This window comes from Homo sapiens, chromosome 7 (genome assembly GCF_000001405.40).
Source record: "Homo sapiens chromosome 7, GRCh38.p14 Primary Assembly".
Lineage (NCBI taxonomy): Eukaryota > Metazoa > Chordata > Mammalia > Primates > Hominidae > Homo > Homo sapiens.
In genome coordinates this window covers 125,022,210-125,048,428 of record NC_000007.14, presented here as the reverse complement: position 1 = coordinate 125,048,428, position 26,219 = coordinate 125,022,210, and the positions used below count along the sequence as shown (strand labels likewise).

The following is a 26,219-nucleotide window of genomic DNA, read 5'->3' as shown; positions in this document are numbered from 1 at the left end:
GTCATTATGATGCTAGCTGGTTATTTTGCCTGTTAGCTGATGTAGTTTCTTCATAGTGTCGATGGTCTTTACAATTTGGTATGCTTTTGCAGTGGCTGGCACCAGTTTTTCCTTTCCATATTTAGTGCTTCTTTCATGAACTCTGGTAAGGCAGGCCTGGTGGTGAAAAAATCTCTCAGCATTTGCTTGCCTGTAAAGGATTTTATTTCTCCTTCGCTTATGAAGCTTAGTTTCGCTGGATATTAAATTCTGGGTTGAAAATTATTTTCTTTAAGAATGTTGAATATTGGCCCCCACTCTCTTCTGGCTTGTAGGGTTTCTGCAGAAAGATCCACTGTTAGTCTGATGGGTTTCCCTTTGTGGGTAACCCAACCTTTCTCTCTGGCTGCCCTTAACATTTTTTCCTTCATTTCAACCTTACTGAATCTGATGATTATGTGTCTTGGGGTTGCTCTTCTTAAGGAGTATCTTTGTGGTGTTCTCTGTATTTCCTGAATTTGAATGTTGGCCTATCTCGCTAGGTTGGGGAATTCCTCCTGGATAATATCCTGAAGAGTGTTTTCCACCTTGTTTCCATTCTCCCTGTCACTTTCAGGTACACCAATCAAACTTAGATTTGGTCTTTTCACATAGTCCCATGTTTCTTGGAGGCTTTGCTCCTTCCTTTTCGTTCTTTTTTCTCCAATCTTGTCTTCACGTTTTATTTCATTAAGTTGATATTCAATCTCTGATATCCTTTCTTCCACTTAATTGATTCGACTATTGATACTTGTGTATGCTTCATGAAGTTCTCCTGCTGTGTTTTTCAGCTCCATCAGGTCATTTATGTTCTTCTCTAAACTGGTTATTGTAGTTAGCAATTCCTCTAACCTTGTATCAAGGTTATTAGCTTCCTTGCATTGGGTTAGAACATGCTCCTTTAGCTCGGAGGAGTTTGTTATTACCCACCTTCTGAAGCCTACTTCTGTCAATTCATCAAACTCATTCTCCATCCAGTTTTGCTCCCTTGCTGGCAAGGAGTTGTGATCCTTTGGAGGAGAAGAGGCATTCTGGTTTTTGCAATTTTCAGCCTTTTTGTGCTGGCTTTTCCTCATCTTCATGGATTTATCGACCTTTGGTCTTTGATGTTGGTGACCTTTGGATTGGGTTTCTATGTGAACATCCTTTTTGATGTTGTTGATGCTATTTCTTTCTGTTTGTTAGTTTTCCTTCTAACAGTCAGGCCCCCTCTTCTGCAGGTCTGCTGGAGTTTGCTGGAGGTCCACTCCTGTTTGTCTGGGTATCATCATTGGAGGCTTCAGAACAGCAAGACTGCTGCCTGTTCCTTCCTCTGGAAGCTTCGTCCCAGAGGGGCACCCACAAGATGTCAGCTGGAGCTCTCCTGTATGGGGTGTCTGTCAACCCCTGCTGGGAGGTGTCTCCCAGTCAGGAGGCATCGGGGTCAGGGACCCACTTGAGGAGGCAGTCTGTCCTTCTGCAGAGCTGGAGCACTGTGCTGGGAGATCCGCTCACTCTTCAGAGCCGGCAGGCAGGAATGCTTAAGTCTGCTGAAGCTGCACCCACAGCTGACCCTTCCCCTCAGGCGCTCTGTCCCAGGGAGATGAGAGTTTTATCTATAAGCCCCTAACTGGGGCTGCTGCCTTTCCTTCCGAGATGTCCTGCCCAGAGAGAAGGAATCTAGAGAGGCAGTTTTGCTACAGCAGCTTTGCTGGTCTGGGATGGGCTCTGCCCAGTCCAAACTTCCTGGCAGCTTTGTTTACACTGTGAGGGGAAAACTGCCTACTCAAGCCTCAGTAATGGTGGACACGCCTCCCCCCACCAAGCTTGAGCATCCCAGGTTGACTTCAGACTGCTGTGCTGGCAGCAAGAATTTCAAGCCAGTGGATCTTAGCTTGTTGGGATCTGTGGGGGTGAGATCCACTGAGCTAGACCATTTGGCTCCCTGGCTTCAGCCCCTTTTCCAGGGGAGTGAACTGTTCTCTCTCACTGGCATTCCAGACACCACGGGGGTATGAAAAAAACCTCCCGCAGCTAGTTTGGTGTCTGCGCAAATGGCCTCCCAGTTTTGTGCTTGAAACCCAGGGCCCTGGTAGCGTAGGCACCTGAGGGAATCTCCTGGTCTGCGGGTTGTGAAGACTGTGGGAAAAGCATAGTATCTGGGCAGGAGTGCACCATTACTCAAGGCACAGTCCCTCATAGCTTCCCTTGGCTAGGGGAGGGAGTTCCCTGACCCCTTGCACTTCCTGGGTGAGGTGATGCCCCACCCTGCTTCGGTTCACTGTACCCACTGTCTAGCCAGTCCCAGTGAGATGAGCCAGGTACCTCAGCTGGAAATGCAGAAATCACCCACCTTCTGTGCTGACCTGGCTGGGAGCTGCAGACCGGAGCTGTTTTTATTCGGCCATCTTGCCAGCCACACTTATGTGTCTTTTATATTGAAGACACTGTTTCATCATTGAAGAAAACTTTTAAACTAATCATCATTAGAACTAATACAACTTCTCTATAAGGATTAGAATATTGGCCCCCAAGTTGGCCAATATCAAAATATTAGCATTAAATCACTGTGAAAATATCAAACTTCCAATGTCTCTGCTTCATTTCTAATTCATGAATAAAGAGTAAAGAATTAAAGAAAAGACTGGTGCAGATTACAATAAATGGGAGATAAAGATGTGGGATTTTTAATATCCATATCTGTCTGTAACATTTATAACCTGCAAAAAAAATATTCCATTGCAAATTTATTCAACAAATGTATATTTTTCACTAACTTTGTACCTGGTACCACGCTAGGCACTGGAGTTATTCCTTCCATTTATTCCTATCTCTAAAACAATCAAAATTAATTAAAATCCAGAACTGTTGATAATTCTGTGTTCTCAGTAAATGTAATAACACCACATTTTTCTATAAAATATTTTGCAATGCTATATTCCAAATATTCTATAAGAAGTTAATATCTAATCCTCTTGTTGTCTAAATTTGTTATCTTTTACAATGCTGTTAACATCTTTGTTACAATGACCATCTTAGTTCCTTGAGGCAATTAATAATTGAGTCATTTTCTACTTTAAAAACTCATATTATTGCAATTTTGCTCTTGCCACTTAATTTATCCTGGCTTTTATAGAATAAAAAATAAAAGAGGGGAAGTATGGGTTGTAGCCAGTATTGTAAAGGAATACATTTTATGTAGTTTACCAAAAGGATCTTTGTTCTCCTATAATTTGAAAAACACTATCTCTCAGCCACACAATAAAATGCTTTTTCTTTTGCAAAAAAAAAAAAAAAATGGAACTAAAACTTCTGTGAGATTTTTTTAACCTGAAAGGCATAATTAGATTAAAAGGAAGTCTGTTAACGAAAATGTACCAGTTAGATCTTCACCAGTTGACATTGGCTTCCACATTTTGATGCAATTCTCGCTATTTCTTCCTTTAAATTCATTGTATTTTCTCAGATGAACTTGAAAACAAGATAATGAGAGTAGAAGTAATCTCCTTGAGAAGATTCAATAACAATTACTATGGGGTTAATTACCATTTTTTAAGATTTTTAAATCACAAATAAATATTTGTAAATATTAATAGATTGTGAATTCACTGGTGGTTTGAGAATGGAAGCACATGGATTAAATCAAACTGTGGTGGTGGGAAGGTTTCTGAAGCATGGGCACCTTTCCCAGATTGCAATTAGCCCCACCCTGATAAGATTCATAGTGTTAAAACTGAGGTGGTTATAAGGTGTGTGTGTGTGTGTACATTCAGACTGAAACCACACAGTATATTCTAATTTCCTCAACCCTCACTCCCCTGCAAAACTAAATCAGAATCTCCAGGAAGAGACTAAAATATATATTCTGAGAAAACTCTACAGACTCTCTTTTATTTTACCCATGTTTAATCTCATTTTCTCATTTTCGTTTACACAAAAAATTGGCATCTCTGAGACAGAATGATATCTTAAAATACACAGATGCTGCAAATAAAACATCTCATGGCTGTTCAACAGAAACATAAGGCCACTGAAATACATTAATTTGTCAGTATACATGTAAATATGGATGAGAAAAAATTTGGCAAAAGAGCAAACATATTCTCATTCAGAAAATACAACACAGTAAAAACATAAGCACAATTAAATGAACCGAATTATAACACATCAATAGATGAGAGGCATGCCATTGACTATGTCTGCACAGTAACTATACTGTCAATTTTCTGGATTATTAGACAAAATATGCACAAAGCTTTTGGATGATTAACTGTGTATATTAAAATCCCATTAATTTAACCATCATTTATTGAATACCTATCATATGTCATGCACTGTGATGAACACTGGGTTTACAAAGATTAAAAACAGCATGGTCCATGCATTCAAGAACCTGCCATCTAAACCTCAAAATCATGCAATATACCCATATAACAAACCAGCACATGTACCCCATATCTAAAATAAAAATTGCAATTATTAAGAAAAAATAGGAGGCTGTATCTTGTTTTTGCTCTGCCCCCATCCCCAACATCAATTCACACAAATGCATTTCAAAACCAAATAAATGCTCTTTTTGTATCAGTAAAAAAATAAAAAATAAAAAAAGAACCTGACATCTTAAGTCATTTGTTTACTACATAGGTTTAAATGTCTTACAGGTCACCTTACGGTTTTTGAACATCAGCATATGCCTGATACAACATGATTCACCTATGTTTTGTGATGCTCTTGTTTTACATAAGTATGCAAAAATGAAACTTACTTTACTCTTTGAAATTTTAGCAATTATAGAGACAGTTAAAATATATTTTTTAAATGTCTCATTCATCCCTTTTTTTATTTAACAAATATTTATTGAAAGCCTATTTTGTGCCATGTTCCCTGCCAGGAACTGGAGACAGAGCAATGAAATACCAGTCTAGTTCTTGTTGTTTAGAACGTCAACTTTATATTTATTCTTTTCCCAATAACAAAGCAGTTAGATGCTTCCATCTGTCCAGATCATTCACTTTGTTTTCCTGCTGCTAGAGTTTTTGCCCTCCTTGTCCTGAGACTCTAAATTTTTCTCATCTCCATCAACCTTATTTGGTGCAGTTTCTGTTTCCTTCTCTATACAATCTGACATGCTAATTTATACTAAACTGTCAAGAAAATATCTCTTCTGTGTGATCATTGTACATTTGTGCAGTGGCCTTTTAGAAATCATGTATTTAAGCCAAAGTGAGTCTAGTGCTAAAGATTTCAAACTCTAAGAAAGTCTTAGGAAATGTCTGAGGTAGTTATCTACATACCTACCTACCTATGCAGGATTATGCTTAGAGCCACCTGGTGTTAAATGATGTGAAAAGTATTTTGGTATTTAACTGCATTGCCCATCTCACAGAGTGGTGCCCCCAACATGATGCTCTCCCCTTCTGTTTGAGAGACTCTGGCATAGACCTTTGATTGATGAATGCAGTCACTTCATAACAGGAGTTTTGTTTTTCATCCTTCATCCTGTTGTGTCCTGCTAATCATGTACTAAAATGAGCAGAGGACATTCATCCTCTAGACTACTTTAACAGTGTTTAGTTCAAACATACTTTATCAACCTGATCTGCTGTCAAGCTAAGCCAGTCATCAGGAATACTTCCTACTACCTCTGACAAATTTCAGTTTTCAGAATCATTTATTTCAAGGATACATTTTAAGAAAAGCTTATATCATTTATGTGATAGGAACTGTGCTGCTTCTTTTAAAAAATTATTTTACTTTAAGTTCTGGGATACATGTGCAGAATGTGCAGGTTTGTTACATAGGTATACATGTACCATGGTGGTTTGCTGCACCTACCAACCCGTCATCTAGGTTTTAAGCCCCGCATGCATTAGGTATTTGTCGTAATACTCTCCCTCCCCTTTCCCCCCACCCCCCAACAGTCCCCAGTGTGTGATGTTCCTCTGCCTGTGTCCATGTGTTCTCATTGTTCAACTCCCACTTATGAGTGAGAACATGCAGTGTTTGGTTTTCTGTTCCTGTGTTAGTTTGCTGAGGATGATGGTTTCCAGCTTCATCCATGTCCCTGCAAAGGACATGAACTCATTCTTTTTTATGGCTGCATAGTATTCCATGGTGTATATGTGCTACTTCTTTATATCTGCCATCTCATGTAATTCTCTTCATGGTCCTATGAGTTAGATTGAATATGTCCATTTTTTAGATAAAGAAATTGTGATTAAAAGAGGCTAAATCTTTGGCCATAGTCATGTAGCCAAAGAGTCTAAAAGTTAAGATTGAAGCAACTGTAACAGATTTCAATGGTGCCAGAAATAGGTCATGACAAAAAATATATTTAACACCACTTATCACAGTGACTGAAAGTCTACCTTAGTAAATAATTCTTTGTGATTCTAACATTAGTTTATTTGACATTTTTAATTTTGAAACTTTATATATGTACATCCCTAAGAGGAGTAATGCCTGCAGTTTTCAATCTAAATATTATTGGATATTCAGACATATCTCTAGGGAGACATTTTTTTGTGAATTCTATGCCTTATAACTAATTTGCCTAATTTCACTAAATCCAGGATACCATTTATTATAAAACATACCAGTCATTTGCATACCACCAAGAAAAAAAATGCCAGTTAACCATGACAATGATAATTTTTTATCATATTGACTTAAAGTGGTATCTCAATTTCAGAGACGTTAAAATATGAAAAATGTGCTTCTTATTGACAAAATAGCATACTATTCTTTTGAACCGGAATAAAGTAAATAAGATGGAATTTAGAGTATCATTAAAGACTAATTTTACCTACTTTACCATTTAAATGAAGATTACTGAAATTGCTAGATACTTTTATTTACATTGGTTTGGGAGACTACAAATTAAATAGCTTTGTTATTGCAGATTTTGGCTATGCACCATCATTATATTCAGGGGACTGTAGTTGCTATAGTTATGAGCATAATTAAGAAAATACTAATTTATTATATATATATTATTTAATATCACTTTGTTCTCCACAATGTAAAGGCAAAGTAGAGAGACAATATTCTGTTTCTCAAAATTTTAACTCTAAAGCCAAGATGGCAAATCATGTTTGAGTTTAAGTAAATAGATAAACCTATCTGTATTCTAATCTCACTTATAAAGTACTTCTGAGAATATTTTGTATTCAGTTCAGGCACAACCATCATTAACAGTGTTGTTCCAAGAATACCATATACGCATCACTACTTATGTAACTTGCAACAGTCTCTGTGTGCCCTCTCTTATCATTGTAGCCTTATTTTATTAACTATCTAAGAGTTCAACAGTACTTGCTTAGTGGAAAATGGTTCCCATTATTTTTAACAACTAAGAAAACATCTGAGCAGATAATTTTCAAAATAGCTTAAGCTTTTCAGTTATTGAATTTTGAGCACCTCTAAGACTTGATTTATTAGATTTAAAATATAAGAATTAAATGAGGTAATATAAATGTTAGTATTTCATGGTGTAAAAGCCACTTGTTAATGTACAAAATGTACTTCAAAGAGTTCCTTTTTAATGCTCACCTCTTTTATTATACTTTAAGTTCTGGGATACATGTGCAGAATGTGCAGGTTTGTTAGATAGGTATACATGTGCCATGGTGGTTTGCTGCACCCATCAACCCGTCATCTACATTAAGTATTTCTTCTAATGCTATCTCTCCCCTAACCCCCAACCCCCGATAGGCCCTGGTGTGTGATATTCCCCTCCCTGTGTCCATGTGTTCTCATTATTCGACTCCCACTTATGAGTGAGAACATGCGGTGTTTGGTTTTCTGTTCCTGTGTTAGTTTTTTGAGAATGATGGTTTCCAGCTTCATCCACATCCCTGCAAAGGACATGAACCCATCCTTTTTTATGACTGCATAGTATTCCATGGTGTATATGTGCCACTTACTTTTTAAAATTTATTCATCTTTCCTTTTTATTTTTCTTCCCCTGCCACTTCTTTTAACTTTACATTTTCTGTCTGTACTCTGCTGCAAAGTCCATACTACTGAACATCTGGGACTTGGTTGGTTAATGCCTAGAAGTTTTACATGAACATCAAATATACAGAAAATAAATCCCAATGACTTTTTAGTTCTTCCCGTATAAGGAAATACTAGAATATGTTTCTCTTAAATCGTCAATGACATGTTTTTCTCTTCCTACTCAGCCCATTGATTCAATGATTTGTAAAACTCTAGACAAGTTTTATCAACTGTTCAAAGCTAGTTTTGATAAGCAATAATTCTTCTTTGTTATTTACTGGTTCCTGAATTAACATTTTTGAAAAGCTACCACTTCAAGTCTTTTTACAGTAATTAGGATCTTTGGTAGGAGTTTGTCACTGTCAGGTGACAATCTTCAAGTAGTTAATTAAGGATCCTTTCCCCCCACCTATGGCATATTGGAAATGTACCTATAAATATTTCATCTTAAAATTAAAATTTCAATATTTCTTATGGCTTATTTTGGTTTTAGATGACTTCTTGTACATTGGTAAGTACTATCCTCATTTTCTTTTACCATTCCTTAACTGCTATTCTATGCATCTTACAACTTTATATTAAGAATGTAGAAGACGTTAGTCTTAATTCATGAAAATTTATAGTTATGGAAAAGTTTTTAAAAGCAACACCTGGCTGGGCATGGTGGTGTGTAACTGCAATCCCAGCAACTCTGGAGGGCGAGGCAGGAGGATCACTTGAGCACAGGAGTTCAAGGCCAGCCTGGGCAACACAGTGAGACCCTGTCTCTTAAAAAAAATTAAGAAATAAAGGTCCAACACCTGAATTCTTTGTCTTAGTTTTGGTATTTCGAAACAAGCAAGTTTTTGTCTAATAATTCCTTTTAGAAAAATGTTTTAATAAACAGACAAATAAATCAAAACATCTGAAATACATTTTTCTGGTGTGGGATAATTACTAGAGCTTCTACAATTTTTTGAGTAAGTAATTTTCTCAGCATACAACATCTACTTTTAGACATAATAGTGAATGTATTCTTTACATTATTTCTTTTTAGGATTCTCAAAAATTCTCTCATAATAAAGTTCGATTGCAGATTCATTTAGCCCCGTGGTTTCTGCCCTACTTTCTCCATGTTTATACTGTTAGCAGGGAGCTGCTAATGTTCCTCAAAATATATAATAAACTATGGTCAGCTGGCAGTCAAAGTAGTTATATACCTGAAGTTATCATATGTGAGGCAACTTTGCATTAATACTAACATGCACTGACAGATTTTATGAAATATTTATTCAACATAAATCCTACTGAACCAATTAATTGTTTTACTATGGCATTTTTATTTTAAATATAGGTGCATACTGAAAAGTCAAAAACAATTTGTTTCAAATGCATTTTTTTTCTTTTAAACAAGTAATAGAATATTTCATGTGGTCAGATTTACAACTGCACAACTCATAGGCGAGCTCTTATCTAACCTAAGCTCTTGACTTAGCAGATCCCCTGCGCTTTACTGGCAGAGTAGACTTTTGGGGAGAACTCCACCTCTATAACCTTGTTCCTTAACACTGTACCCAAGATATTACAATGAAGAAAGATAATCTTATAGAATTATTTTCAAAATAAAACAAAACCTTTGGAAACATTGACTATAGTTCAATCATCTGTTTTGCAAATGAAGTAACGGCAGGCCTCTCCCTCTTACCTATAATGACTTCTATATTGTTAGCTCCTCCTCATCTAAGAAAAAAAAACATTAATCAAAACCAAATCTTCATGTACAATATTCTTTTTCTCAGAGGCATTTATTAAGCATTGAGAATCCAGAGATGAATAAGTATGGTTCTCTGATTCGAAAGATCTGTAGTCTAGTTGGAGAGAAAAACGACAAATAACAATCCTTCACTATACTGATGCTATAATAAAAGTTTATGTAAAGTGCCAGAAAGCACAGAAGGTGGAAAGACTACTTACCAACCAAACTTAGAGTAGCTTTTATATCTGATCTCTTTTTCCTCTGACCTTTTTTGACTTTTAAATAAATACCATTTAAATAGTGATATTTTGAAATTGATTTTTTTTGTGCTGTGCTATACGGCATTTCATGAAACAATTTATTGAATTTATAATAGAAGGTACATTGATTCTAGCATTCCCTTATCTAGTAAATCCATCATTACATTAAAGAGTGATTGTTATACTTGTTTAAAATATATTTTTGCTATTGACCATTTTTTAGACATTTTATTTCCAACTGTTCACATTTCACTAGTATTTCTTGAGTCACAAATTTAAGTCGGTCTGTAAATACTATGGCTCAAACTTATGAAAACTTTCTATACTTTTGAACTATATCCATCCCAGAGTGAAAAACTTTCAGTCCAAACTTCTCAGTGCATCAAACCTAAAGTGGAAGCTGAACAGGCTTTTATAATGGTGTTTCTATTAAAAATAACGAATGTATGATAGAGTAACTCTTAGTTAAGCTTTTATTTTACCTAAGCTCTTACCTTAGTAGACACATGCCCTTTTTTAATATATAATAATAAAAATCATTATGATAAAAAATAAAAGCTACTGAGAAACTAATAAATACATTGTTTTCCATAAAATTTGTATGCATGTGAATCATTTAGTCCTCAGAAAAATTCTGTGAAGCACTAGTTATTATCCCAATATTAAATACATATGCAGAAAGGTATTCTGAAAATTTAAGAGATTTGCACGAGAACATACAATATACAGCCTAAGCAGAACTTCAAGTTTTCGATTTTGAAATTTCATAGTAGTATATTTTCTAATCTAAAATATAAGTTTCACTTCTAAACATTTCCATTTATACTTAAATGTAACAGACAATTATGATTCTAAGTTTCACTATATTGTAACATATATAAAATCAATTTAAAATGGTAAGATTTTTATACTTAGTCACAAACACACCAAACATTCATACAACTTACAATAAAATCTTTACAACAAAGACTTAGAAAGAAGAGAAAGTATGTTATATGGACTGAATATTAGTGGCTGTGAGTTTACTACTAATGATTTCACATGCCTACAGATAAGTGGTAAACTAGCTTGGGATTAGAACCAAAACTTAGTTCTGTCACTTACTGTGTGACCTTGGACAAATGTCTTAAGTTATCTGCGCTTCTGTTCCTTCTCTGTAAAATAATAATAGTACATCGCACATAGTACTTCAGTGGAAGATGAATTCTAGGGGAAATATACAGGATGATACCTGGCATATAGCAGGCATCTAATAATTATTAGCTAATATTAAATTTGCTATAAGAAAAACTATGGTAGGACTTGATATTATTTTTAAAGTTGTTAACACTATTTTTGATAAGACAATCCCAAAGTTCAGTTTTAAGACATTATGCATTTGTTCTGCCCGTAAATATAAAATAGCTACTTAATTTAACAAAGTATTTTCCCTTTGAATAATAAATGTTTAAAGAGAGCTTAGTTGGAGACTATTCTGTGAGGTTACAGAAATTAAAATTTTACATGAGTATTTTCAACTTTATAGTCAATTGGAAAGCTATTTGTTAACAAGGCTGCCAAGGCAGTCATTATCTGAGAGACCAAGATCTGAAGTAATGGGAACCACAAAGAAGTGAGTGTAACATACTAATACAATTTCCTCTGGAGGTATTTTCAGACAACTGATCTGAACAGGCATAAGAGGGAAAGTCAAGAAAATAAGAAAAAACAATGCCTTAAAAAAAAAAAAACTCAAAAACTATGCAGAGATTTTGACACTCTTTTAATTCTGGGGTTATAAAAATTGGAATTTGGGATTCTCCAAGTAGGAAGAGGTCTATGGGAAACACTTAATGCCTTCAGTTAAGATCTTGAGAGGGCTGTTCTCTAGTGTAGGGGCAAACTGGAATTAAAATAGTTCTTAAAAATTCTGAAATTATTTCAATTCATATATGGATAAAGGTGATCTTGCCTACTAGAAAATTAGATTATCTCTGGAGGAAGAAAACATCATCTCTAGTCTCTATAACTTTTCACCAGATAGGAGCTTTAAAATAACTGATCATGTTAAAGAAATAGATAAGAAAATGGAAAATTTTACTCAACAAATCAATGAACAATAAGCAAGTAACCCCATTAAAAAGTGAGCAAAGGACATGAACAGACGTTTCTCATACGCCCCTTGCATTTCACCTTTTGTTTCAATATCATATATATAATTATTTCACTATGGAGTGTCTTCTCCGCCATCCTGCAAATTCCATGATAATAAAGACTGTGCCTATTTTATTTGCCTCTTTTTCATGTAGGTCTGTGTCAGATACAGATGAAGTGAACAGTGAATGAATAAATTAGCAAATGGACAAATTCAAAGAAATCCACAAAAAGCCTATGTGTTTTTCTTTATTTTCTTCTGCTATTTATAATTAAAGCAAAAGTATCTAAGGAAAGGTACATTTTGCTCTGTAGTGAATACGCTATATAGTCTAAGCATATGCTTAAAGGATTTTTTAATCCTATTTTGAATTTAGCACAAATCTGGGTATTCATGAAGTGTTTTACAGTCTGTTTTTTGTTTGATTTTGGTGTTTTGTTGTTGTTGTTGTTGTTGCTGTTTTTGAGACAAGGTCTTGCCATGTCACCCAAGCTGGAGTGCAGTGACACAATCACAGCTCACTGCAGCCTCGACCCCCTGGACTCAGGAGATCCTCCTCCCTTAGCCTCCCAAGTAGCTGGGACCACAGGCGGACATCACTATGCCCAGCTAATTACCCTGTCTCTACAGTCTGTATTATAGAACTTTTTTAAAAATTTGGAATAATTTGGATTCCAAGTGTAATTATGTCCATTATCAATGCAAGATCTTGGGCAAAAGTGTAAATAACAATAATAGCTAACACAAAGTGCTCCGTTTTGTGTCAGATACCTTTCCAGGAGCTTTATTAAAAATACAAATTAATTCCAAATTAATTGTGATGTTAATTTTATATCGATGAGGCACCTGAAACAAGCAGAGATTAAGAAAGTTGTCCAAAGGAAGGAAGCCATGTGGGAGAGAAGAGACTCGTTTTTTTTCAATGTTCAGTATCCTTTAATGACCCCCGTCTCCCTGAAGGGGCAGGTGCAAGCAGGTAGGCGTTGGCAAGAGACGTTCACTTGAAGATCTTGCCCCGATTGGAGGTTTGGCCAACATGCTGGAAGGCCCCCTCCCAGGAAAAGTACTCTCGAACCAGCATCTACGTCTCCTCACTGCCAGTATCCAGTTTCCGCCATGTGTATGATTCATAGTCCACCTGCCAATTTGGACTCAGCAGAAAGGCAAGCTCCTGGCCTCAGAAGACCCAGGCTCTAGAAATGGAGCTGCTACTGTTGGTTCCAAAGAGGATGACACTGGTGAAGGCATTCTTCCTCAACTTGTCCAGTCGCTGGAACATTCCAGTGATGAGATTGCAGCTCATGGAGATCTGAGTGAGTTCTTCAGGGATGCGATACTCTGAGTATCACAGGGACCAGCCATCCTCATCAAAGTGCCCCCAGAAATATGGCAGTGCCACAAGGAGTGTGTCCTTGTTGGAGTCCTTGCCGCTTAAATTCATCCAACACAGCCGGGTGTGGCGGCTCACACCTGTAATCCCAGCACTTTGGGAGGCCAAGGCTGGTGAATCACAAGGTCAGGAGTTCGAGACCAGCCTGACCAATATGGTGAAACCCCATCTCTACTAAAAATACAAAACATTCGCTGGGCGTAGTGGTGGGCAACTGTAATCCCAGCTACTCAGGAGGCTGAGGCAGGAGAATCGCTTGAACCGGGGAGGTGGAGGTTGCCTTGAGCCGAGATCACACCACTCACTGTACTCCCGCCTGGGCGACAGAGTGAGACTCCGCCTCAATCAATCAATCAATCAATATAAAATAAAAATTCACCCAACACAAAGGTACTCTTGGGCAGGTGATCGGAGGGATCCTTGGCCTTAGGCTCAGCGGCCAGCGCCTGCTTACATTCATCCATCTCCTCCTCTGGAGCAGGGGCAGCTGCCTTTTTCTCCTCCTTCCACTCAGCCTGGGGCTCTGCTGCTCTTCCTGTGAACCCTGCGTTTTCCACAGGGTGTCCTTTTTAGGTTGGCACTCGGCAAACTTTTTAGCATCAAACTGGGCCATCTTCTCACACAGTTTCACTTCCCCCAAGACAGCCCAGAACTGAGACTGGTTAATGCAGGTGAGGAACCAGAGGTTATAATATATATAATAAATATATTATATATTATATTACTTTAATATTTTACAATATATTACAAAATAGTTTACATACTATATATAATATATACATTATATATAGATATAACGTATATTTTATATATAAATTATATATAGATATATAATAACATATATTTTATATATAAATTATATATTATAATAATGATATATATTATAAATACAATAAAATATATTACAAAATTGGGAAAGGCTTGGTGGAAAGAAGGTTCTATGACCTGCTTATAGAGCCACAACAGGGTGCAGACGACTCTGATAACAGCCAGTCACTCATTCGCCCACCAGAAAAGTCCTCATCTTCAAGTAAGCGTCCAGCAGCCCCAGAATTCGCCTCATTTCCTCCTTTGCATTCTGAATGGCCTGCTTGTTGTGGTGCATGATGCCCATGATGCGGAACACCCAGGCACTGGCTGGGGGCACTCTACCACTATCAGCAAAGCTCACCCACTGCGCCACCTAGGCTGCTGCTTCGGGTGTACTTCCCCACAGCTCCTCATTGCTCACATATGGCATTGCTGTCAAACACACAGAACCCACTGTCACCCTCAAATGCTGGAAACTTGCCAGCAGGAAATTTGCGGAGAAATTCAGGCGTGCAGTTGATTTAGCCAAAGTGCAAGTGGGGTGGTGCGGACAGCACATGAACCTGAGCCCCGCTGTACTGAGCAGCAATGAGGGCCTTGAAAGCCCTCCAGTTTTCAGGATATGTGTACAGGGTCCCAGTCGCCATGGTGCTTCCGCAAAGAAAGGGGTGAGAAGAGATTCTTTTTGATGTTTAAGATACATACCATCTATATGTATTTAAAATATATATTCATATGCATAGAAAAGGCATGTAAAAGAAGCTCAGCAGAGGCTACTTCCCGAGAGGACTGCAGGACTTAGAATTTACAGTGAGAGGAGAATTAATATTTTACTATAAATGTTTATCTTTGTACTGTTTGAAAGGTTTACTATGTGCGTATGTCATATTGTCAGTTGAAAGAAGAGACAGAGCAAATCCTACCTACCCTGAAATGTGTGTTTTGTTCCACTTGGCAAGGAATGCCAAATAAAGGGAAGAAAGCCAAGGCCTAAATTGTCAATATCACAGTGTTGCACATGGCTAGCCCTGCTTAGCAAAGAAAGTATTTCGGATAATTTATAAACATCAAAATACGTATTTTATAAATTTTATATCTATGCCTTTGGAGAAAAATATATTACAAAACAAAGTGTAGCTTGTATCATTTTATTTGAATTATTTTACATATTGATTTACTTTAGAAAGCAATTGTGAAATGTGCTTCTACTGTAATATACGACTGTGTGCTGGTCACTTTATTAATAGAATAATTGCATTGTGCTTTTTTTTTCCACAGGTACTGCTACTCAAAAGTATTTCTTTGAAAACAGCACTGACTTTTTGATCCCCATAATTCAAGTCTTGTAATCATTCAACATCAAATAGGGAGCAAATCTCATCATTTTCAAAGCTACTCTGAGGTGGTATTATGAGATATCATTCTAAGATACTGTTTCACTTGTCAGAAAAACTCCTGTAAGAAAGAATTAGTCTATTTGTCTATTTCAAAAGGAGTTTTTTTAAAAAGGTGAAATCTGAAAAACAAAATAAAAAACGACGTAAGACAAGACTTGTAGTAGGATGAGCCACTGTTATTTTGCCTTCTGCTCAATCCAACTCACAAAAGAAATACTTGTTTGGCAAATGAGTAAATGGTGGTATTACTTACTGAAGTTGACTATACAACGTACTCAAACAAAGATAGTTTGAGAATAAAAGGATGTATTATCCACTATCCTCAGCAATCTAACACAGAAGCAGAAAACCAAACACCGCATGTTCTCACTTGTACGTGGGAGCTGAACAATGAGAACACATGGACACAGGGAGGGGAACATCACACACTGGGGCTTGTGGGAGGTGGGCAGGGGGAAGGAGAGCATTAGAAAAAGTAGCTAATGCATGCTGGGCTTAATACCTAGGTGATGGGTTGATATGTGCGCAAACCACCATGGCACACATTTACCTATGTAACAAACCTGCACAACCTGCACATGTACCCCAGAACTTAAAAAAAAATGAAAAATTGTTAAAAAGATGCAATGCCAATAATTACTCTATGACAACAGGTGTGAGCTAAGACTGTCCCAGGCATATCAGATGGCTTTTGCTACATAGCATACTAGCCATTGGATTTAAACAACAATAATTTTTTTTTATTTTCATGATTCTATGGGTCGCTTAGGAGGATTTTGCGGCTTGGGCCTGCTTGGCTGATTTTCTGTGGGCTCATAGACAGAATGTAGGCCAGTTGGTGGCTGAATGATCTAAGATAGCTCCTGAATCATTCTAGGCTCGCAGCTCTGGCAGTTGTCAGCTAATGTGCAGCTTGTCTTATTATCCACTGGGCTGTCTCTTCCACATGATAGCCATAGCATTCTACAGGCAACAAAAGTTGAACCTAAGACCTCTTGAAGCCTGGGCTCATAACTCGTACATCTTGTACCTCATCATTTTTACTATATTTGATGTATTAAGGAAAGTTATAAGGTCAGTCCCAGATTTAAAGAGTGGAGAACTAGACTCCACCATTTGATGAGAGTTACTGAAAAGTATTGTAACTATTTTTGCAATCCAAAACTCTAGGCACACTAGAATATATAATCAGCCTTCATTTTCTGAAACTTGGAAATCTAAAAGAAGTACAGTTTCTTTCCAAATACCACAAAACAAAGGCTATGCTACTGCCCTGTGACTTCAAATACAGGTCTTAGAATTATGAAAACATCTTTGAAAGCCAGAACAGGACCTCAAAATGCTAAAAAGGTTATATAAAATGAACCCTCTGCGTTGTTAATAAAATAATCCTGTAAACCCTCCCTAAGTCATCCACATTCTCAAAATGCAGTAGGTACCTTTAAAGCCAGATATTTCAATCAGGCCTATTTACTCACAATACTGGTCAAACAGAAGGTATTTGCCTGTTCTTGATCTTTTGCCCCAGTCTCTCACGCTGCCTCTGCAGGCAGATACTCTCATAGCTCATGGATTCTTATCTTTGGAAGGGACATGTTGATCACAGTTGCAAAATTTTTCATCACAAATGGACCATTAATTAGTTCTGTGTAGCTTTGCCCATTTTTTCCTAAGGAAATTAAAAGCAGTTCAGATGGAACTCGGAGCATCACTTAAATGGGAAGGATGTGCCAAGTCCAGGGATCTTATGACGTCACAAGTTCTTAACTTCAGTGCTCTTCTGGCATTTTCACCTGCCTCCTTTGGCTCAAAATATAAGCTGTCCACTAGTCCACATGGTAACCAGGTCTTCACCTCTCCCTGCACCCAGTCAAATCTCAATGGACCAAGTTGTAAGGGGAATCTTTATGTGTTATTTTATTTATTTATTATTATTATTCATTTTGTGTTTTGTTTGTTTGGTTGTTTGTTTGTTTTGAGATGGAGTTTCACTCTTGTCTCCCAGGCTGGAGTGCAATGGTGCATTCTCAGCTCACTGCAACCTCCGCCTCCCAGGTTCAAGCGATTCTCCTGCCTCAGCCTCCTGAGTAGCTGGGATTACAGGCGGCAGCAACCACACCCAGCTAATTTTTGTATTTTTAGTAGAGACAGGGTTTCACCAAGTTGGCCAGGCTGATCTCAAACTCCTAACCTCAGGTGATCCATCCACCTCGGCCTCCCAAAGTGCTGGGATTACAGGTGTGAGCCACCGCGCCTGGCTGGAATCTTTATTTTTAAAAGCTCTTGAAAGTATCTTGCTGAGTTATTAAGTTGGGGACACACAGATATTATCAACAAGTTTATATTTGAACCTAAATCTTTTATTTAATCTTTCTCCAAATGACATTAAGGAACCTAAACAAAGAAGCAAGAAAAAACCAAAGAACCCCATCAAAAAGTGGGCAAAGGACATGAATAGCCAATTCTCAAGCAAAGATATACAAACAGCCAACAAACATATGAAAAACTGCTCAGCATCACTAATTATCAAGGAAATGCAAATTAAAACCAAAATGAGATACCACCTTACTCCTGCAAGAATGGCCATAATTAAAAAATCAAAAGATAATAGATGTTGGTGCAGATGTGCTGAAAAAGGAACACTTTTACACTGCTGGTGGGATTGTAAATTAGTACAATCACGATTGAAAACAGTATGGAAATTCCTTAAAGAACTAAATGTAGAACTACCATTCGATCCAGCAATGCCACTACTGGGTATCTACCCAAAGAAAAAGAAGTCATTACATGAAAAAGCCACATGCACAAGCATGTTCATAGCAGCAGAATTTGTGATTACAAACATATGAAACCAACCTAAATGCTCATCAACCAACAAGTGGATTAAAAAATGTGGTATGTATACACCATAGAATACTACAGAGCCATAAAACAGAATGTAATAATGGCCTTTGCAGCAACTTGGAGCTGGAGGACATTATTCTAAGTGAAGTAACTCAGGAATGGAAAACCAAACATTGTGTGTTCTCACTTATAAGTGGGAGCTAAGCCATGAGGATGTACAGGCTTTCAGTACTTGTGGGGAAGAGTGGGAAAGGGGTCAGGGATAAGACTACGCATTGGATACGGTGTACATTGCTTGGGTGACGGGTGCACCAAAAACTCAGAAATCACTACTACAGAACTTATCCATGTAACCAAAAACCACCTGCACCCCAAAAGCTATTGAAATAAAATAAAGATAAAAAACTTTGTAAAAGAAAGAAACTATAATGTATAGATTATTTTCTAAGAAGAAAGAAATTATTATTTTGGTTTCTCTGAAACACTTTTACTAGAAAAAAAAATTCGCATCACTGACTAAAGACATTCTTGTAGTCAAACACCTGCTTCCTGTAAATTAGAACAGTTTCTTAGGGATATAGCTGACAGATGCCACTTTTATGTAGTGAATCTTCAAAACTGGTACATTATTCTCTTGAAAAGAAGGCTGAAATGTATAAAAATGAACAATAGCAACTACAGAATACATGGAAAAGAAAATTCCTGCTCAATCAGACATAAACTAATGGAGAGCAAAATCTGTGCAAAGAGCAAGATTTGCTCTTGCTTCTTCTTTCCTTTGTGTGCACCAAACACTATTAAAGTAGTAATGGTGGCAACAACTATGATTATCAAATCCTCCACTAGGTGCCAGGCCTTTCACTAAGCACTTTAGTTGCATTCATCTATTAAATCCTCAGAAAACTATGAGGTAGCAATGTTAGCCCCACTTTAAAGATAAAGAATCTGGAATGTTAAGTAACTTGTCCAAAGTCACACAGCAGATAAGAGACAGAACTGAGATTGGAACCAGGTTGTCATCCTCCAAAGCCCATAAAGGTCAACCATTGCTACAACGTACCATGGAATATGATGACTAGAGGTAGAGCAAAGGAGGAAAAGGTGACAGGATCTGAAAACATGCTCATGGTTTCTCAACCTATGCTTAGTAATAACTACAAATTTGACCTCTAACTTTTGGATTCTCCCAAAACCAATCATCAATCCACAATGCAGGTGAGTATATAATATTCAAATACCTACATGTTTAAATATATGCTTCCACTTGAAAGTGAAAGAAACATCATGTTCCATAATACATTCATTTTCTAATCCTTTATACTTAACATTATTAAGCTAAAGTGTGAATTTTCATTATATTTTTAGGGAGATTTTAGTTGTTCATTTTTGTTTCCATATCTTATTCAGATTTGTCAATAAGATGAACATATATTTGCTGCTAAATCAATAAAAAGTAATAGCACTCAGGGGCTGCCAACCATGTGAACAAAAATCTCTAGCAGGAATTAACTGATAAATTCAATTGACTGGATCTCATTCAAGGGGGCAAAGAGGAAACAATGCAACTCTTCCTCTCCCACATAACATTATATGAATCTTCCTGCAAGAAAAAGAACATTTCACCAATTTGCCAAGTATTTGAGTTTTTTCACAACCAGTGTAGCAAAAGTTAGCTGTATGCATTATCCTTAATTTAAAATAATTTTATATAAATGTGATTTATGCCTCAATTGGCAGTAAATGGCAGATGTAATATATATATATATAATACACCTCTTATTTTTCTTTGCTTCTGATCTTATATATTTTAAATGAGAATTTTTCGTTTTAAATTTCAACAGCAAATGCTTTGTTTTGTTAGATATACATTGTTTCCAAGAAATAAAACATTTAAATATCTATTATCTTTATTTTCTCCTGAGTATTAGACACAGAGTTTCTCTCCCACTATTAGATAAGATTTATATTCAATTATAGTGTTAAGAATTATCTAAATTTATTTTAGGTACAGTTTAAAAATCAAATTTAATCATTTTCTAGATACCATAAGATTGTCTTCTGGTCCAGATATTTGAAGGTATCTAGATAAAAGTCAAAGTAATAGGACTATATATTTTACGGGAGTGTGCTGTTAATTCCATAACACCTCTAGAGTCATTCTATTTGTTTATAAGACCAAAAGGAAGTGGAAAGAGAGGTACAGGACCAATTGGCTCAGCTATCATTGGTTTAGAGATCTGTGCCTATGTCTTAGTAAAGTGGTAAGTTTCATAGTGAATGCGAGCCCTACCTGAAATCCATACATGCTAGCTATATCTGAAGAGAGGGCAAAACCAGAGGTGAGGATTTGCATGGTAGGAAGATTAGATGGGTCCCAACAAAACTCACAGAGGATGTCATTTTTCATCCAAATGCTATGTTTAAATCAGTTCCTAATAACTGTTAGTAGAAAAAGATAAAAGTGTATCTTTTTCCTTCAAACAACTTGATAAAACCCCATATTAACATCCAAACAGAGTTTCAGGTATGTCAGGAAGCCCACTTTAAAGAAATACTTAAGAAGCAGATCTTCATTCAGTCCATTTGGACCACAAGGCCTAAGAATTCCCTTTGTGGGGCTAAAATAACTAAGACGAGCTGTCTACATTAATCAAACTACATAAGAAATGGGCAAGAGTCTACTATGTGCTGTGTAAAGACAGACACTGACAACTAAAGCTAGGGAGTTTTAATGAGGAGACTTAATTAAGATACACATCATCTTCAGAAATATGAGTCTTTAATTTTCAGAAAATCACCGCCAACCTTAGCTCATCTGTGCTAATTAGCAAAGACTGGGAATTCAGAAAATCAGGCTCTTAGGGAAAGGTGTGCTAAAGAGAGACTTTACAGAGCACTACCCAGATAGTATACTGTTGTAACTCTGATCCTATCATAGAGACTTTTGTAGATTTTGGCAGGAACAGGATTTTAAATATACCTGGCTAAATTGCCCATGAAGCACATTGTTCCCTAAACATCCTGACACTTGGGAATCTCAAGAACACCAGAGACAAGGACTCATTATGCCCTGTGGCTGTTCTACCAATTGTTGAATAGCTCAATTTAATTGAAAGTATAGTCTTAGGCTAAGCCAAATCTGTCTCTTTGAAGTTTTCATTTACCGTTTAACTCTTACTCTCTGAAATTATGCAGATGAAAACTAACCCACGTTTCCATGTCTCTCTCTGTTAGATTTTTTCTTTTCCAACAGAATTCTCTGTTTTTTCCATTGTTTTTTGATAACTCCATTACAGACCTTACCACTATCCTGGGCAGCCTCCTGGAAGAAAGCCAGTTGCTGTCCTTCTTAAAAGTTGGTGCCTCAAAGTGTGATCTACTCAATGTGTCATACAGGAGAACTTTGCCTCTGGTCCTCTGGACAATTAAATTCTTTAACTGCTACCTAAGTTTGCATTAACATTTTGGCAGTTACAGCATGCTATTGGCTGGTTTTGAACTTGCAATCAAAAAACACCTGTCTTTTTTTATGAACAACTGTTGAGCTAGGTTCCTCTATATTTTGTGCTTCAGCAGTTGATTTTTAATTTAAGTCCAAATTTATTTAGTCTCTATTAAACAAATGACCAATGTCCACTTGCAGAAAAGTTAGAAAATATGGCAAGATAAGCAAGATGAGCAAGCATAAAAATTAAGTATAAATCGTCGTTATATTCCCAACATTTGAAGATAACCACTCTTAACATTTTGATATATACTTATCAGTATGTTTTTCTGTGCATACACACAATGGCTGTTGGGTATTTATGTGTATTTTTGTGCACACATACATGGAATGTAATTATTTATACTCTTATGTACTTGTCATTTTCTGTAAATGCTATAAAAATATTAGTATATATTTTCATTTAAAATTGCCTCAAGAATTTCATTTTTACATGTGTTATTATTTCATTTACTATGGCTGTGTAATAAACCACTACAAAATATAGTGACTTAACAACATTTATTTTGCTCATAATTCTGCAATTTTGCAGACTCAGCAACTTGTCTCTGTTCTATTAAACTAGCTGTAGTGGCTTAAAGAGTGGAGGCTTGAATCAGTTGTGAAATCTACAGTGGCAACATACTCCCCATCTTCCCTTTTCTCTAGTGGAACCCTAGTGCTTCTCTTGTAGCCTTAAAAACTTTTAAAAAAAAATAGAATGGAGGCTGAAATCATCTGAAATCTCTCGTATTACTAGCAGATGCTAGCTATTAGCAGGAACCTAAGCTAGGGATGTCTGTTACAACACTTCCTTGTGACCTTGCCACATCACCTGGGCCTTCTTAAACATGGTAGCTGGGTTTCAAAGGAGAAATACCCCAATAAAGAGAGAGCCAAGTGGAAGTCATGTTGCCTTTTTTGATGAACTTTAAAATCACCCTACGTCACTTTCATTATAGTCTATTCATTGAGGGAGTCACAAAGTCTTGCCTGGGTTCAAGGGGAAGAAAAATAGACTCAAACTCTAAATGGGAGTGTGGTAAGGTTGAGGTTGCGCATATGAGACTGAAAATACTGTGATGGCTAGTTTTGGAAAATATTGTCGCTGCAGCTGTAACTCATTTATGCTACTTAATATTGTTTAAAATTTTTACCTTTAGAAAAAATACTGCAAAGCAGTCTCTACATGTCTGAGTATTTGTGCAATTATTTCCTTGGGATACATTCTGAAAACAGTGATTACAGGGTCAAAATTTACACACATTTTTAAGGCTTTTGACAGATACCGGCAACTTGTCATTCAGAAACAACGGAAATTTCTATCCCAGTCATGAGCCTATGAACAAAAAGTCCCATTTCCCAGCTACCATTTAAACACTAGCTATTATTAGACTTGTTAATATTAGCCAGTCCTATCTTATTGTTATTTACTTTTTAATTTCTTTTAGTACTAGTATATTTGAATATTTTTATATGTCTATTAGTAATTTGTATTTCTTTAGAAGTTGTTTTCATTCAATTTCCTACAGTATGTACTCTCTGAGACTTATATCTTTATCTTTGAACATATCTCATGGATATAACTCCTAAGTATTTTATAATTTAGATTATTATTGTTAATGAGCTACATTTTTCATAGTAGGTTATATTTGTTTCTTGATAGTACATAGGAAAACTATTATTTTTAACAATTCTTTCTTATCCAGCCCCTCACTGAATGATTTCAAATCTAATTGTTTTCATTTTGAATCCTCTGCGTCCTATATATGCAATCAAATTATCTACACCAAATATATTAATAGCATTGTCTTCACTTTCCCAGTATTCAGATAATTTATACGTTATGTTAGAATGTTTACAATATATATTTTAGTCTGAATATCTAAAGCAATGCTAAATAATAATGAAGATAATACACTTCTACTTTTATTTTTTAATGCATGAGTTAATGAGAATGCAGCTAGAATTTCACCCGTGCAAAATAAAAATTCTTACTGTGCTCATTTCCTTCTGTTCTTCATAAGTTTTTCTTCTATTCCCAGATTATTAACCATAAATGCCATTTTAATTTCTTTGACATATGATTCACAAACCATATCATTCTCTTTTGTAGTATACAATTAAATGGTTTTAGTATAGTTTGGTACAAAAGTAATTACAGTTTTTGCCATTTAGAGTGAAACTGTGAAACTGATTCCATTAAGACTCCTTTTCTTTATAAATTACCCAGTCTCAGGTATATCTTAATCAGCAGTGTGAAAACAGACTAATACAGTCTCTAAAGTTGGAAATACTGGACTGAATTAAATGATAAAGTATTTATGTGAAATGTTCAGAGTAGACAAATTACTTTTAATGGCAAAAACCATAATTACTCTTGCACCAACCTAATATATTGACAAAGTTGTGCAACCATCACCATTATCTACTTCCAAGACATTTTTGTCACTACAAAAATAAACCATTAATTGGTAGTCACTTCCCATTCCCCACATCCCTCACCCCTTAGCAATCTGTAATCTACTTTCTATCTGTATGGATTTGTCTATTCTGGACGTTTCATATAAATACTTTCTCACTTAATTCAGTCCAGTATTTCCCACTTTATAGGCTGTATTAGTCCATTTTCATACTGCTGGTTAAGATATATCTGAGACTGGATAATTTATAAAGAAAAAGAGTCTTGTTTGACTCACAGTTTCACGTGGCTGGAGAGGCCTCACAATCATGGCAGAAGGTGAAAGGCATGTCTTACATGGTAGCAGGCAAGACAGAATGACAGCCAAGCAAAGGGGGAAACCCCTTATAAAATCATCAGATCTCATGAGACTTATTCACTACCACGAGAACAGTATGGAGAAAACTGCCCCCATGATTAAATTATCTCACACTGGGTCCCTCCCACAACATATGGAGATCATGGGAGCTAAAATTCAAGATGACATTTGAGTGGGGACACAACCAAACCATATCATTCCACCCTGGTTCCTACCAAATTTCATGTCCTCACATTTCAAAACAAATCATGCCTTGCCAACAGTCCCCCAAAGTCTTAACTCATTTCAGCATTAACTCAAAAGTCCACAGTCTAAAGTCTCATCTGTGACAAGGCAAGTCCCTTCTGCCTATAAGCCTGTAAAATCAAAAGCATGTTAGTTACTTCCTAGATACAATGGGGGTGCACACATTGGATAAATATAGCCATTCCAAATGGGAGAAACTGGCTAAAATGAAGGGGCTAAAGGCCCCATGCAAGTCTGAAATCTAGTGGGGCAGTCAAATCTTAAAGCTTCAAAATGATCTCCTTTGACTTCATGTTTCACATCCAGGTCATGCTGATACACGACGTAGGTTCCCATGGTCTTGGGCATCTCTGCCCCTGGGGCTTTACAGTCTCCCTTCCAGCTGCTTTGAGTGTCTGCACCTTTTCCAGGTGCACAGTACAAGCTGTCAGTGGATCTACCATTCTGGGGTCTGGAGGACCATGGCTCTCTTCTCATAGCTCCACTAGGCAGTGCCCCAGTTGGGACTTTGTGAGGGCATCAACCCCACATTTCCCTTCCGCATTGCTCTAGCAGATGTTCTCCATGAGGGCCCTGCCCCTACAGCAAACTTCTTCCTAGATATCCAGGTGTTCCCATACAGCCTCTGAAATCTAGGCGAAGGTTCCCAAACCTCAATTCTTGACTTCTGTGCACCTGCAGGCTCAACACCACATGGAAGCTGTCAAGGCTTAGGGCTTGCACCCTATGAAGCCACAGTCCGAACTGTATCTTTACTCCTTCTAGCCATGGTTAGAATGGCTGGGACACAGCTGGTCAGGCACGGTGGCTCACGCCTGTAATCCCAGCACTTTGGGAGGCTGAGGCAGGCGGATCATGAGGTCAGGAGATCGAGACCATCCTGACTAACACGGTGAAACCCTGTCTCTACTAAAAATACAAAAAATTAGCCGGGCGTGGTGGCAGGCACCTGTAGTCCCAGCTACTCAGGAGGCTAAGGCAGGAGACTAGCACAAACCCAGGAGGCAGAGTTTGCAGTGAGCCAAGATTGCACCACTGCACTCCAGCCTGGGTGACAGAGCAAGACTCCATCGCAAACAAACAAACAAAATGCGACTTCTCATTAGTTATGCAAATTTCTGCAGCAGGCTTGGATTTCTCC

The 26,219-nt window shown here is 37.0% G+C and overlaps 1 long non-coding RNA gene and 1 pseudogene across 2 annotated transcripts in view; both read right to left on the bottom strand.

Annotated features, from left to right (window-relative positions):
- Positions 1-26,219, bottom strand: part of POT1-AS1 (POT1 antisense RNA 1) — a 215,362-nt gene that overhangs the window by 96,806 nt on the left and 92,337 nt on the right. The gene's annotated exons all lie outside the window — the stretch shown is intronic.
- EEF1GP1 (eukaryotic translation elongation factor 1 gamma pseudogene 1) lies at positions 13,046-14,996 on the bottom strand (annotated as a pseudogene).